Below are 17,238 nucleotides of genomic sequence, written 5' to 3'. Positions count from 1 at the left end.
TCTTGGGAAGCTCTAACCAAGCTTCCCCATCCCTTTCCACATTTCCCTGTAGCCTCATTCTGCATGCAGGGCACTCCACATCATGGTCCCTGGAAGGGTGGCACAGCAGGATACCGAGCACAGTACTGAAATCTGAGGCAATTCTGGACAAACCCACTAGATTTGGAAGTTTCTTTGGTGGCTTCCTGTTCCAGCAAATAGAAGGGAACAAGAAGATAGTGAGAAACTCTGCCATGCTTCTCCTAAGCATGCCCCAGTGGGAAGAAGAGAATCCCACAGAGGTGTAAGGATTCGAGGGGTCCTGAGATTTGAGGGGTCCTGAGATTTAAGGGGTCCTGAGCAACTTTTCTTAGGTGGAGCTCCAGAAAGCAGCAAAACCCTTTCATCTGTGGCCAATCAGCTGGAGCTTCTCATTGCTTCTAGATCCTCCCTATAGCCCAAAGGAGTGCAGGAGCAGTCCGTTAGCTCACCTAGTGGAGGATGACTGCATGGATACTGGTAAAGGATGGCCTGACCCTGCAAGATGTGAAGCTCCACAGTGACCTGGATCCACAGGAAGATGGACACCCCCGCAGTGCCAGCTTTGATGGATGTCACCACCCTGAGGGCCCTGTGTGCCTTCCCCTGACCTGCACATGCCGATCAACCTCAGGAAAAGTGTGTGTGTGCGCGTGTGCACGCGCGCGCGTGTGTGTGTGTTGCTAAGGGCACATTAAAGTCATGGTGGTTAAGTGTCTGTCACCTGGGGGACTGTACCCTCCAAAGAGAATTAAGTTCAGTTAAAGACTAATTAAGGCTCCCCTGAGTTTTGGATTTTTATCTGCTCTTCCTGCAGACTCTTATGTGAAGCGATACCAACAACTTCCCCAACTCCATAAAATTATACAAAACGAATTCAAAAATAACATTGTCACATTTTTTCAGAGAATGTGTATTGTGTAACATGAAATTATGCTTTATTTTTTAACAGCTCTGTTGAGGGAGAATTAACATTTTGTAAGTTGCACCTTTAAAAACTATGCAATTTGATAGTTTTGACATATTTATACACCCAAGAAACCATCACCATCATCAAGAAAAATGAACATATCATGCACAGGTCTTCCTTCTTCCACATCCGCAGTGGCTGGAAGACATAGAAAGGTCATGTGGTAAGCTGAGTAACAGTCCCCAGAAATACTAACGTCCTGATTCCTGGAACCTGTGACTACTGCCCCACATGGAGAAAGAGTCTTTGCAGATGTGATCAAGCTGAGGATCTTGAGATGGACAGATGATCCAGGAGGGCCCTAAGTGCAATCCCATGTGTCATTTTAAGAGGGAGGTAGAAGGAATTTGACCACAGAAAGAAGAAAATGTCATGTGATGATGGAGGCAGAGGGAAGCACAGTCAGAGAAAGGATGCTATACGCTGACTTCAAAGACGAACGAAGGGACAAGATCTAAGGAATTCAGAGGATGAAATCCTAGAGGCTGGAGGAGGCAGCGAAACCAGTGCTCCCCTAGAGCCTCTAGAGAGAACACAGCTCTGCTGACATCATGGTTTTAAGACCCATAAAACCACGTCAGACTTCTGGCCTCCGCATCTGTAGGATAGTAGATTTCCATTGTTTTAAGCCACTAAATTCACAGTAATTTGTTGCAGCAGCCATGGGAAGTTCATACATGCATCTTTTAACTAGTTTGAATTAATAATTTTATAGCAATTAGATTGGATCTGAAGATAGAATGGACCAAAGGCATTGATTTGGGGTCACTCGAGATGTTTAACCTTGTTGGAGGTGTGGGGGTGGTCATGGTAGGGAGTGGGGGCCTCTCTCCGCTCCCGCATGCTCTGATTGGTTGAGTAACCAGCATCTCCTAATTTCCACCTTTCAAGGAATCTATTATATTAGTCTGTTTTAAAAATTAAATGTGGTATAAACCTTACACCAAAACTTTTGAAAATAAAGAAAGTTAATCCCAGATCATTTCATGGCCACAATCCAGCCACTACTATCTTTTTGGCATATGTCTGTCTTTCTTTCTTTCTTTCTTTCTTTCTTTCTTTCTTTCTTTCTTTCTTTTTTTTGACAGAGTTTTGCTCTTGTCGCCTCAGCTGGAGTGCAATGACACACTCTTGGCTCACTGCAACCTCCGCCTCCTGGGTTTAAGTGATTCTCCTGCCTCAGCTTCCCGAGTAGCTGGGACTGTAGGCATGTGTCACTATGCTCGACTAATTTTTTTGCATTTTTAGTAGAGACAGGGTTTCACCAGTTTCACCAGGCTGGTCTTGAACTCCTGACCTCAGGTGATCCGCCCACCTCAGCCTCCCAAAGGGCTGGGATTACAGGCATATTCATTTTGAGTCTTTTTTTCCAAACACATGTTACATTCATGGTCCATTATGTGCCATGGTCTGTGTCCGTGTAAAATTCCTGTATTAAAACCTAATCTCTAAAGTGATGGTGTTAGGAAGTGGGCCTTTGTGAAGTGATTAGGTCATGAGGGTAGAACCCTCATGAATGGGATCAGTGCCCTTATAAAAGAAGCTCAGGAGTGCATTTCTTCTCCCTTCTGCCCTGTGAGCACACAGGGAGAAGGCACCATCTATGAGGAATGGGCCCCCACCAGGCACCGAATTTGTCAGTGGCTCCAGAACTGTGAGATATAAATGTTTATTGTTTTAAGCCAGCTAGTTTATGGCATTTCTGTTACAGCAGCCCCAAAGGACTAAGACATTGCACTTATCTTGCATAGAATTTCTCACCACTTGTTTCACTCAACAATATTTTCTCATGTTACATTCTAATTGTTATAATGACTGCTTGCTGTGTACAATGTGCCACTAAGTGACTATACCAGAGTCCAGCTGCTGGACATTTTTTCTAACGTTTTCACGTAACTTCTTTTGTAATCATCTTCCTGTATATATGTTTTTCCATGTTTGGGAACATTCCCTTATACTAGAATTTTATAAGTGGGATTATTGGACCACGGAAATGATTTTTTAAAAGCTATACACATTTCCAAGTTCCTTTAAAAAACACACAACACAGTCACAATGAATGTACAGATTTCACTACACTGTGATTAGAAGTGGGTAATGTATACGTAATGTTAATTCAATTTTAAAAGTAAAGAATGTTGCCACCTTGTTGTTTTTATTTACCTAACAGTGATTACAAGTGAGAATCACTGAGTTTTTCCCCATATTTTGATGATTAGTTCTATTTTCCTGCCCATGAATGATCTGCTTGTATTCTTTGGGATTTAGCTGTCAAGTTTACAATGTTCTTCTGCTCTCATATGACCTCTTTTTATTTAATAAATATGTTGAGCAATTTTCTATCATTCATCCCAGTCTATCCTTTGCTTTCTTGCCTTGGGTTTTCCATGGAAAGTGCTAAATATTTATATGGTCAAATTTTTCTTTTATGATTTACTGTGTTACTTCTGTGCTGAGGAAACTACAGTTGACTCTTGAATGACACAGGTTTCAGCTACACGGGTCCACTTATATCTGGATATTTTTCAATCAAACCCAGATAGAAAATACAATATCCACGGAAATGTGAAACCCACATAATGCAGAGGGAGGGCCGACCCTTCCTTAAGGTAGGTTCCACGGGACCATCTGTGGAACCTGAGAGTGCACTGAGTTTGTTATATTCAGGGAAGCTGGAACCAACCCCTTGAGTATACGTAGGGACGACTGTATTCCTCCCTCAGGATTTTATTTTATTTTATTTTTGAAACAGAGTTTCACTCTTGCTGCCCAGGCTGGAATACAGTGGTGCGAGCTCGGCTCACTGTGAAGTCCGCCTCCCGGGTTCAAGCAATTCTCCTGCCTCAGCCTCCTGAGTAGCTGGGATTACAGGCACCCGCCACCACTTCCAGCTAATTTTTGTATTTTTAGTAGAGATGGGGTTCCCCTATATTGGCCAGGCTGGTCTCAAACTTCCGACCTCAGGTGATCCACCCACCTTGGCCTCCCAAAGTGCTAGGATTACAGGCATGAGCCACTGTGCCCGGCCAGGATTTTAATAAGTATTATATTCATTTAATGTAAGGTTCTGTGTTTAGCTGCTTAAATTTTCTAAAATTTCAAATGAAATCTAAAGTAGGTGAAGACCCCCTTCTTCCTCCTCCGACTCTCCTCTTAGCCCCTCTGTCACCCTGTCTCATGGGCCTCCACTGTGCCATATCAGTTTTACATCTGCCCAACTTCATCCACTTATTTGAGCAGAGATAGGAACTATTCTGCAGCAGGTGGAGGAAGAGAAGTGCTCAGGGTGACCACCCCTTCCTTTTTTTGTGCTGTCTTAAAGAGCTGATCACGTTGGCGGTGTTATGCTAGAAACCACGGGAATACTCTGGCACAGTCATCTATAGGCTCTGGAGCAGCGCTGGGCACCCTTCTAATTTAGGCAGTGGGAGGGGCAGGAAGTTACAGGAGCTGTGATGTATCCAGCCTGGAAATTATCTTCTGAGTTGCCATTGTGAAAATTATTCAGTCCACGTGGGGGTCACCCTGCTGGCCCACAGCTCTCGTGTCTGAGCTGCTTCCTCTGCTTGAGGGAGGGACACAGTCAGAAAGCCTTCCTGAGGACATCCAGGTTCCCCAGACCTTGTCCTTCAGGGCTCTTTTCTGCCTGTCTCTCATTCCAGCCACCTGGAGCTTGATGCATCCCTAAGTGAGGAGACCTGTCGATAAAGTCCTCACAAACTAGTCTTCACTGAAGAGTGTTAAAGTGAACATGGATTCCCATTTCTCTGAGCAGTTTAATTATGATCCTGCCTTACAGCAGCAAGATGAATTGGATGACAGCTCAAAGTCTTTCTAAAGGAGTGACTTTAGGATCTGGAAAGCCATTTGTCCAGACTGGAGACAAGGAAAATCTTAACAGGCTTAATAAAGAGATAAGTCCACAAAGTTACATTTTTCAAAATTTTAGTTAGCTCATCTCAGGTAATAGACCTTTACTTTAAAGCTCTTATAATGTTCAGTCTCAGCCCACATATCAACCCAACCAATATGTCAAGATTTTTTGTTTCCAGAACCAGTGTGTCCCCCATCCCAGGCAAAGATGGCAAGCACTGGCAAAGATGGTGTTTTTTTTGCAGGAACTCTGGAAACCACTAGAGACGGACATGAACCCTGGCAACGCAGGAGAAACACAACTTTCTATTAGTTTTTATCAACCCCTACCACCTCTGCTATGGAAGTTTTAAATTTTATTAATCTCTCACCATTCCTTAATACCGTTTTCAGTGTAAAGGGAAATGATACCTCGATTCACTCACATTTAGAAAGTTAATGTAGCCTATCTGCACATGTCTTTGTTTCATGTTTTTTTTTTTTACTCAAGGCTCAAATAGAGGATCTAATACCTACCCTAAATATGGTACCACATTTATTTTATTAATGTTATTATTTTCTTGGCAAGATAGGTTTGGAATCTTAAAGTGTCTTTCAAGTCTGTATTATTATCCGCTGAGATTAAAATAATGTTTTGCTTTTGCTGATGCATCTGTAAAAAGGTAAATGTTCTCTCTTTGACAACCTAAATAATTTGATTCAGGTGACTCAACAGTATTATGCAAAATTTGGTAAATTGACAAGCTATATATTCCTCTGATAAATATTAACAAGTAATGACAATGGTGTAATAAGAATATTGTCCAAGAAAACAAGACTTTCTTTTTTGAGACATGGTCTCATGCTGTCACCCGGGCTGGAGTGCAATTGTGTGATCAGAGCTCACTGCAGCCTCAGACTACTGGGCTCAAGCGATCCTCCTGCCTCAGCCTCCTGAGTAGTTGGGACTACAGGTGCATGCCACCATGCATGGCTACTTTTAAAAATATTTTTTGTAGAGATGGGGGTCTCACTTTGTTGCCCACACTGGTCTTGAACTCCTGGCTTCAAGCAATCCTCCCAACTCAGGCTCCCAAAGGGCTAGGATTATAGGTGTAAGGCACTATGCCCAGCCCTCTTTTATTGGAATCAATAGTATATTAAGAGAGGATAATCTGTAAACAATGGAGAAAGTGTCTTGTTTAATAAATTGTGTTGGAATAAGTGTTTGGCACTTTGCCGGGAAAAATTCACTTACATCTTATAGCAATGACTTGTAATTTCCCCAGTATTCATTCCCCTATTCCTCTTTAACAATAAACCTCTGGGTTTTAGTAGGGCACCTCAATGCCCAGCTGCATTCCTCCTGCTTTCTGGCAGGTAGGTAAACAGTGCAACTTCCTGGGTACTTTCTTAAAAAGGAAACTGCATGGTCTTCATTCTTTCTGCCTTCCCATGGCAGAGCACCTAGAATTCAGACTTGCCAGTGGCAAACCAGCAGTGGCCATGACGATGAGGACAAAAATCTGGGAGATGACAGAGCAGTTAGAGGGAAGGGGCTTGGATCCCTGGATGATCTTATGGAACAGAGCCTCCTATCCTGCCCTGACCTCCTCCCTTAACAACTCTTAGCATCGTATAGCAAAGTAATTATGAAATGGAATTAATAATTGAATATAAAAAACAGAAGCCACAGACAAAAGAAACAGACAGTTCATAGGAAAGGAAACAGGAATAGCTCTTAAGCATATACCAGAACATTAATTTATTCTTAATAAGAAATGACAAATTAAAATAGCATTTTAACCTCTCAGATTGGCAAATAATTAATATGAACTGATAAAACAAAAACAGTAAGCTTCGAGTAAATAAATGAGGAAAGGATACAAATAAAAATCATACAGAAAAGGAAATACATATTGAAAACACCATGCCAACATTTCCATATATTAATTGGCAATGTTGATAATAATATGGTGTAATGCATATGTTCCAACAAGGTTGAAATGGTGAAGTTGGGTATAACCCTTCAGGAGACCCATAAAACTATTTTTTTCTAGCCTTTGTCAATCTATTATAATGAAATGATCCAAAATATAGCAAAGGTTATATGCATGAAGACATTCATAACAATACCGTTAATAATAATGAAAAATTAGAATCAAGATGCCCAACGAAAGACAAATGGTTATTATGTATCCATTTAGGGGAATTCAGTCATTTAAAATAATGCTTATGAAAACTGCAACAAATAGCAAAAAGATTGATTTTTTTTTAAGTGGAAAAAGCAAGATTCAACACTGCACATACATTAATTTTGCTGTCACACTCTCCATGCCTACTTTGTCCACTCCATATTTTCAGCCCAGTTCTGTCTTTTCAGCATGATCTTGAATTTCAGGTACCTATCTCTACCTGTATACGCCTTATCCTTTTCCAATAAATCTTCCACACTTCTGCCAAATTAATTTGCTCACTGTTTATCCAACAAATATTTACCGAGTGCTAACCATCAGCCAGGAATAGTTCCAGAGGCATGGGCTACTTCACTGAACAAAATCAAGATTTCTGATCTCACAGAGCTTATGCTTGAGTTGGGATGGGGCGGTGGGAGGCAAACAATAAACACAAGTCAAAAAACTGTGCAGTAGGCTAGAAGGCACTTCAGGGCAGTTGGATGGGGGGTGGAGCAGGTCATTATATCAGATAGAACAATCAGAATAGGAACTCATTGAGAAGGGGAGATTGGAAGAAAGACTTAAGGGGAGTGATGGAGTTAGCTAAGTGAGTATTTGAGAGAAAAGCGCTCCAGATTGAGGGAACAGCCAGAGCAGAACTCCAAGGTGGGATTGTGCCTGCCGTGTGGAAGAACCACAGTGGGCCACTGTGGCTGGAGTGGGTTGAGTGGGCCGGGGCATAGTGGCAGATGAGGCCAGGTCATGCAGGCACATCGAGGCTCTGATCCAAGGCAGATGGGCAGCATTGCAGGATCTGAGCAGCTTAGGGGCTCTGACTTGGGTTTTGGAAGAGCTCCTCTCCTGGGCTAAGGATGGCACCAAGCAGGCAATGGTGGAAGCATGGAGACCAATTTGGGGACTCTTCCAGACATCTAGGTGAAAGGTAGTGGTTCACACTAGGGTGGTAAGAAATGATTGGATTTCGACTGTCTTTGAAGGTAGATCTACATATACCTAATGATATATGTGAGTGGAGAAAAGAAAGCCAGGATGACTCCAAGCACTTTGGCTTGAGCAACTAGAAGGACGTAATTGTCACCAACTGCGGTGGATGTGTGAAGTTTAGATTTCTACCAGACCTCCAAGTGGTGATGTTGAGTAGACAGGTGGATGAGACACAGCCATGCTGCATTTTTTTTTTTTTTTGAGATGGAGTCTCGCTCTGTTGCCCAGGCTGGAGTGCAGTGGCGCTATCTTGGCTCACTGCAAGCTCCACCTCCCGGGTTCACGCCATTCTCCTGCCTCAGCCTCCCGAATAGCTGGGACTACAGGCGCTCACCACCACACCTGGCTGATTTTTTTTGTATTTTTAGTAGAGATGGGGTTTCACCTTGTCAGCCAGGATGGGCTTCATCTCCTGACCTCGTGATCTGCCCGTCTCAGCCATGCTGCATTTTAAAGAAATATTCATATCAATATTTAACTATTGAAGGCCTGGGTTATTATTGACTCCTTAGCATTACGTTACGTTCTTTGCTTCCATTGCAGTTTTCCTTTTATTTTAGAGACAGTCCTACAGTTTTGGGTCTCAAAGGTCCAGATGAGTCTGTACCCTGGGTGCTGTGTCTACGGTGCATCAAATGGGCTGGCAGAGTGAACACTACTCCTTTTCCCTGAGCTCCTTTCCAGCTCCACCTAGGCCACTGTCCCCATTGTACCCTCTGCAACTCACCCAGACCCATCTCCCCCATTTCCTCTAAATAGCCTGGGTGTCCCCCACATTGGCAGCCTTCTTTCAGGCTGTCAGGCTTCCCTAATGCCAAGTGCCACCTCCCTCATCTTCTTACATGTTTGTCAATGAAAGGACTGAAGACACACAAAGGTAAATATCACCAAATGATAGAAGCTGTGCCATGGTATGGGCTTCTGATTGTCTTCTGCATTTTTGAGGAATTCTGTAGTTGAGTTACATTGTTCAAACATCATATTTACCTATTGAAAGTACATTATTTTTCTTTCCTTCCAAATTAACTGCAGAGAGCTTGATTGTAACAGTCTGACCTGGCTGTTGGCTTTTTAGTTGACATACACCTGCTAGAGATTTGTGTTATAATGAAAGTACCGCTGGGATTGTCTTCCTTCGACCTCCACTGAAATGCTGGGGATTTAACGTTCTGATGGCATTTGGAGATGAGCCAACTCATAAACGAATCGAAAATGATAGTTGTGTGTTTTCTGCAAAATGAAACCTTGAGCTCTTAGACAGAAAGGTCCATTCCCCCAAGCAGAGCTTAAGAGGTTGTGACGGATTTGTTTCTGAGCATATGGTAAAAAGAGAAGTCTGAGCCCCAACTTGTTTACCTGTCTGGTGGCTGGTTGGGACCCAGGGTGGTAGGTGGGTCTGGGGGAAAATGTGCATGAGAACATGTCAAAGGGAGTGTGACAGAACTCCAGGGTGTCTAGGATGAGTCGTCCTGGCTTCAAATTCTTGCCCTCTGTGACCCAAGACACATTTCTTAATATTTGGCCCTCTGTGTCTTTATTTTAAAACTAGGGGTAATACAAACTGTCATCGGGCTTGTGCATGTGTGCAAGGACTTTGAGCATTTGGAACACAGGTGTGCCTGACCCATTATGCTCACAGTAAATATTAATTTCCCTTCTTATCGTTGGAATATTATATACTATTTGACGTGTTATTGATACAAGAAATCCATACCCTGAGGTGGTTTGTAAAAGATTTTGTTGATATCAGAGATGCTTAACACTCACCTGGTTCTCAAATAACCGGGCTGAATGTTTGTATGATGACAACTGATAGTTACAGAATGCAAGCTGGGAGCCTCGGCACCTTGTGTCTATTTACCTGACAGTCCGAGGAGGTGAGAATGGAGGTGAACATCCCCCTCTAACAGTGAGGAAGAAATCAGGGAGACTTGAGCAAAATGGCCAGATGTGAGCTGGTGAGGTGCTTGGACCCTGACATGGCACAGTCTATAACCAGGAGAGACAGGTTTTGGAGAGGCTGCCCGGGCTCTCCCTACTGCACCATGCTACCCTCCTGCGAATGCCCATCCGTTCATATTACCTCTGTCTTTGTGGATGTGAAAGTCCCTATCAAAGGACACCCAGTTCCTAAATATACAAGTAGCCTCTGCTGAGTCAGCCCTGTTGACTAGGCACATGCAAAGATCTTAATTCACTGTGACTGTAACACAGCTATTTTCACCCTTCCTGTTTGACTATTAGACTCACAGTGACATTGCAAACACATGGCACAACTGAAATAAAGCATTCCTGGAAGCTAGCTTTGCAGCAGGATTGTCAGGACAAGTATTGTGTATCCAAAGGTCCTCTCCTCTGTTCTGTTGAGCCCCAGCCCTACGGAGTGACCCCAGAAAATGCTTTCCTTCCAATTTCATCATTTACGGTCTCTGCCAAGCACCTCGCCAGCTCACATCTGGCCACTTTGCTCAAGCAGCATGGGTGAGTCAATACCTTGAATCATTCAACAGAGGCATGTCAGGATGTCAAAGTCAGCTCCTGCTCTGCTGGAAGGTGTTAAATTTCAGTGCATTTCTGTAAAGACCTCCTCAGGTCTGTATGGTTTTGAAATATCAAGACCCCATATTCATCTCTTTTACCACTGTTGACATCTGACCCACTAAAAATTGCCTCTGAATCTTGTTCAAACATTTGAACTTCTCTATCTTATTGTTTCTGATGCTCAAGAGAATGTCAACGAACAGCAGGAATCTGATGGCTCTATCAGTAGTCCCTATGCATTGTCTCCTTGGCTAGGGATCCCTCTTAAGCTCTGTGCATGAACAAAAGCAAAATCTGTGTCCAGAAATTCCAGCATGAGTACACACAGGAAAAGACCACAGGAGAGTGTTTGCTGATGAAACTGGCATTCCTCAAACATGGAAGGTGGTATCTATTCAATAAATGCCAGATGCCTGAGGTAACTCGCTGCAGGAAGTGACAGCTGGGGTGGGGAAGGAGGAGGAGGAAAATTGGCTAAATTAAAATTTAGATCAGCGTTAACACTCTTACCCGTGTGAAACTCGCAATGCAATCTTAAATGAGCTAAAATTCTTTGGGATCAAAATACTGTCTGGCCAGCATTTGTATCACACTACCTGTGTTGCACTCCCTGCCATTCCCATCTGCTCTGCTTGGTACCCAAATGCAGTGAACAGCAGATGACTCACTGCTCCCCCTTGACAGGGGAATCATCTCTCCAGGGCCTTTCACACTTGGTGGCCACTGGAACCCCCAGGGGGGTGGGGTGCTTATTAGAGGCAGATGCTGGGCTGGACATGGTGGCTCATGCCTATAATCCCACCACTTTGGGAGGTTGAGGTGGGTGAATCACTTGAGCCCAGGAGTTGGAGAGCAGCCTGGGCAACTTGGTGAAACACCATCTCTACAAAATACATAAAAATGAGCTGGTATGGTGGTGTGCACCTGAAGTCCTAGCTACTTGGAAGGCTGAGGTGGGAGGATCAATTAAGCCTGGGAGGTCAAGGCTTCAGTAAACTGTGATTGAGCCACCATACTCCAGCCACACTCCACGACACTCCAGCCACCACACTCCAGCAAAACTCTGTCTCAGACACACACACACACACACACACACACACACACACACACCCCAAAAAGCCAAAGACAGATGCTGGGCCAAGCCCCTGCATGTCTAAATCAAAATGCTGGGGCGAAGCCTGAGAATTTGCTTTTTTGGTAATTCCTTGGAGATGCTGATGCTGCTGGCCCACAGGCCACACTTTGAGAACCACTGGTCCATGTAAGCATAGACTGTGAATTTCTTTTACCTTTTGTAAATCCAGTAGCACTTGATTAAAGGTGGGAAAGAAATTGGCTTTGGAATCAGAGAAACCTGGGCTAGAATCCCAGCCCTGCCAATTACCAGCTGTGTAAACTAGAGAAATCACTTAATCACTAGGAGTGTCTGATTCTTTATCTGTAAGATTTAGATAATAAAAATCACCTGACAGAGTTGTTGCAAGGATACAAAGTCTGCCTAGATTACACAAATATTAGCTAATAAAATCTCTGCTACCCCAGACTTTGCTCTCCACATAAGCCTTGATTGCATATAATAAAGTCCAAATCACCAACCTTTTAAACATATCTCTATAATGCCCCCAAAAACAAGACTCTCTTTCTGGAACATTTGGATTCTGATTCATATTAATATTGCTTTTTGGCTTTGGGTACTATTTGACCAGACCATAACATGGGAGGCTATAGTTTTGTAATTGATTTTTGTCTTTTAAAAGAGAATATAAACCTAAACCACAATGGTAAATGGCCAGAATCGAGGTAGGACACACTGAGAATTTCATATCCAATATGTTAGCTGTTAAAGTTTGGTCTGAATGTTCTCAGTATCTCCTGGGTGACAAACGTGACAATGCCTCTGCGGTGAATTCTAGCTGATTCTGCTATTTGATAGTGTTGTACACAACTATATGGTAGACCTCCATTAAGCCTCCCCCAGATAATTTCCTCCTATAATAATTTCCAAAAGAAAACTGGGAACAGACCAGTGATGAGTCAATGCAGTGGCTAAGAACAGAGGCTCAGAAACAGCTGAATCTCTTCCTAGTGGTCCTCTGAGCTCAATCACATCCATGTTCCATGTAGTTAAACACCAGTCACCCAGTGAACTTTTGTCAGGTGATGTTTCATAGCAGGCTGTTCACAGTAGCCAAAGACTGGAAACAGCCCAAATGTCCATTGGTCTATACCCATAATGAAATATTCAGTCTTAAAGAGGAAGGAGATTCTGACACAGGCTACAACCTGGATGAACCTTGAGGACATTGCGCTAAGTGAAATAATCCAGTCACAGGATAACAAATAAGAGGTATGATTCCACCTATATGAGGTCCCTAGGACAGTCAGATTCATAGAGACAGAGAGTAGAATGGTAGCTGCCAGGGGCTGCGGGGAGGAGGGATGGAGAGTTAGGGTTGAACGTGTATGGTTTCAGTAGGGAAAAATGAGAAAGTTCTGGAGATTGATGGTGGTGATGGTTTCACAGTAATTTGAATGCACTTAATGCCATAAAACTGGAGAGTTAACAATGGTTAAGATGGCAAATTTTATGTTATGTATATTTCACTACAATAACAAGCAAAACAAAACAACTCAGGTTAAGTTCAGCTGCGGGTGGGGATACAGGAGTGATTGTCAGATAAAGTCTGAGAATGAAGAGAAGCTTCTACATTACTGTGTAACATGAGAGTTAATCCATCATGGCATCTGGAGGCTGCCTGAATGCCCCTTTAAATCTGTACTGCAAGCAAGTAACAGAAAGAAATAACTTATGTGAGGAAAGCATATTATTCTGATAAAACCAATAGGCCTATAATACGATGTAGGTATGTCAAGTAAGAGCCCCAGAAGTTTTACCAGTGTCTCTAAAACAGAAGGTAGCTGTTGAGAGGTGGTGGGAATTAAATCATTTATTTTCCCTTCGCAGTTCAGGCAACACTTTTCTTACATTCACCAGCAGATTCTATTCCATATAATTGAATCTGTGGGGAGTCTTTGGCTGTTCTATAAAATGACTTTTACTGATAAATTCATTTTGCAAAGATTGCAGAAGAAGGGTCTGCTCCCTACGTTCCCCTGTGTCCCTTCAGGCAGAATGAGCTCCTGGGCAGAGGCGGTGGGAACTTCAGAATCCCTCCCCTGCTTCTCAGCTGCGCTTTTCCTTTCGCATGTCCGGGTCTCGGGCTTTCCTTTCCTTGGTGCTCTTGCTAACTCATTCATATCTGGGTGCACATGAAGGCACAGGGAGATGCTAAACTCCATAGCTAGGGAAAGGACAGCGTAAGGCTGTCCTTTAGAATGTATTACAGAATTACTGAGGTGTGACAACACAAAAGAAGGGGAACGTTTCTGAGCACCTACGTGCTAGACGCTGTACAGACTTTCCTCACTTAATCCTCATCACATTTCTGGCAGGGCGCGGTGGCTCACGCCTGTAATTCCAGCACTTTTGGAGGCCAACGCAGGCGGATCATCTGAGGTCAGAAGTCCGAGACCAGCCTGGCCAACATGGCGAAACCCTGTTTCTACTAAAAATACAAAAATTAGTCGGGCATGGTGGCACTCGCCTGTAATCCCAGCTACACGGGAGGCTGAGACAGGAGAATCGCTTGAACCCAGGAGGTGGAGGTTGCAGTGAGCCGAAATTGTGCCACTGCACTGCAGCCTGGTCAACAGAGCAAGACTCTCAAAAAAAAAAAAAAAATCTGCATCATTGCTACCCTTACATTACAACTGTGTAAATTCAGGCTCAGAAAACTTTTTATAAAGGACCTAAAGGAGATCCCACGGCTGTAAGTGGAGGAAATAGAATTTGAAACCAGATGGTTAGGATTCAAGCCTTTTGCATTTCTTAGTACTCTTCATGGGGAAAAACACTGGTGTGATTTCCCCTTGTCATCTTTGGTCAAATTTTAGCATCTGAACTGTTGAAAAGGAAGGATTCATCAGCACAGCAGATGCTTCAATGTTTGTTTGTAAATAAAGAAGGCAAGTAGGAAAGGTTGAAGGAATTTATTATGTGATTTAGTACTTCTCAGAGGGACAGGCAATGTGAGAAGGCAAATAGAAACCTCATCACAGTACTTGTAATGACAGAGTAGTGCAAAAGGAGAACTGGTCACAAATATTGGGGCAAATAGTGTATGAAAGGAGTGCCAAGACCAAGGCATACTATTTGGATGCAAGATTTTTTTTTTAAGAACACAGACTGTGACATACAGTTTTAAGGTGATGTTCTGAATTTGTACTCCATTCTCCCCTTGTACTCCATTCTCCCCTTGCAAATCTCCCAAACAATAGGAGAACTGATATAAGACACTTTTTAAAAGAAAGTAGACAACATCAGTAAATCCCACTTAAAATTTATAATCAAGACCTAAAAAGTGCATTGAAGATGAATCAGGAGTGGGAGAAGACACAGAGACACGATGCCTCAGGCAAGGTTAGCAGAGCGTGAGTCTCCACAGTGTGTAAGTGCGGGAGGGAAACTGACAGCTCCTCACAGGGCCTGCCTGTGTCCCAGATGAAGACAGTGATGGAGAGAGCATATGAACATGCCATCCTTGTAGGAAGCAGGCTGTTAGTAAGGCTGGATAAAGGACACAGAGTCTGAATTGTGACTAGCTCTAGAGTTGCTGATTTCCGTGGGCTGAAAAAGTAAAGATTACAATAACACCTGCTTTCCCCCACCACGTGTGTCTCTCTTTCTCTCTCTGTTCTCTCTCTCTCTCACACACACAATCAATTGTGCATTATAAAGACCTTCATTTTGATTAAGATACAAATTTTGCTAGTTCACACCACTCTTCCTTTCCCACATGAATATTCTGAAAAGAACTCATAAAATATAATAAAGAAAAAAGAAAAGCAATAAAACATAAAATCACAAAAACTGACAAAAAAGAAATAGAAAACTGGAATGTCTTGTTAAGGAAATTGAATCAGTAGTTTAAAATCCCCCCACAAAATGAACACCAATCCCATATGGTTTTACATGTAGGTTCCACCATGTATTCAAGGAATCCTAATCTTATGCAAACTTTTTCTGAAAACTGAAGATAAAGGATCACTCCCAGCTCATATTTGAGGTGAGCATAACATTGACCCTAAAATTTGACAGGAAAAGTACAAGAATGAAGAAATATAGGCCAAACTCATAAACGTAGATTCTATTATTTTACTATATTAACAGATTAAGAAAAAACCAGAGATCATTTTAATATGTGACTGCAAAAGCATATATTATAACTCAACACCTAATTATTATATAAACTCTTAGCATAAGTGATAAAGTATAGGTATCAAAAACCTATAGCAAAAATTATACTTAGTGATGAAATAATATAAATATTCCTTCAAAATCAGGAAGAAGCAAGAATGTTCACTCTCACTTTTTGTAATCCACATTGTACTAGAAGTCCTAGCCAACGCAACAAGAAAAACAAATACCAAGTATAAGGATTTGAAAGAAAAAAATGTCATTCTTGACATATAATATCGAAGTCTACATAATAAAGAGTGTTCATCAAGTTGCCAAATAAAAGTTCTATATTTTAAAAGATTTCAGTGCTATATAACAATAACAACAAACAGAAAATATAATTTAAGAAAGAAGATATTACCTAAAATAGTAAAAAAAAGAACATACCCACTAATGAATTAAACAAAAGATGTGCAAGAATAGCACAGAAAAAAAATGAAAACTTTGTGAGAGAAAACACAGAGTGATATTTCCAAGTATTTTCTTGTTACACACGTAGATTTTTCCTCCCTGGAATGAATCATGTTAATGTTCATCTCCTCCATGCCTGCTAAACTGTGGACACTGGGCTACTCCAGAGAGAAACGGAGCCAGCTTCTGTCTTCCCTGCTAGAGCTTGTGCTCCGGAAGGAGTCACTCATCAAAACCAATTGATGAAATGATTATTGAATAACTATTATGTAACATGCCTCCAAGAAGACATACAGAATGCAGCAAGCATGTGAAATAGGAAGCTTTCGTAGCCTGGATTTCAGGGAGCGAGCTCAGATCTCAAAGAGTCACAGTAACGATGAGAGATGAGGGGAAAGACTACTCCCAGTTGAAGCAAACAGCCTGGGCAAAGGCACTGGGGCAGGGAGGGCTATGCCCATGCACAGATTTGGAAACTCCTCCTCTTTTTTTCATGAATAAATTATGACATATTTTCTCATCAACAAGTACTTTCTGTGGCATCATTTTAAGTGGCTGAATAGTGTTTCAATATAATCTATTGAACTAATTGCTTTTTTAAAAATTGGAATTATTGTAATTTTTTATTGATACATACTAATTGCACATACTTATGGGGTACATCTGACAGTTTAATATATGCATATGATGTGTAGTGATCAGAGTAGGATATCAATAGCCTCAACCATTTATCATTTCTTTGTGTTGATAACATTTTAAACATTCTCTCCTATTTTGAAATATACAATACGCTGTTGTTAACCATAGTCACCCTACTCTGCTATTGAACATTAAAACTCATTCCTTCTATCTAACCATATGTTTGTACCCATTTGCCAACCTCTCTTCATCCTCCCCCACCTTTCCCTAGTCCCTGAAAACTATCATTCTACTCTCCACCTCTATGAGATTAACTTTTTAAACTC

Source organism: Homo sapiens, chromosome 2, assembly GCF_000001405.40.
Source record: "Homo sapiens chromosome 2, GRCh38.p14 Primary Assembly".
Lineage (NCBI taxonomy): Eukaryota > Metazoa > Chordata > Mammalia > Primates > Hominidae > Homo > Homo sapiens.
This window is presented reverse-complemented; position numbering follows the sequence as displayed.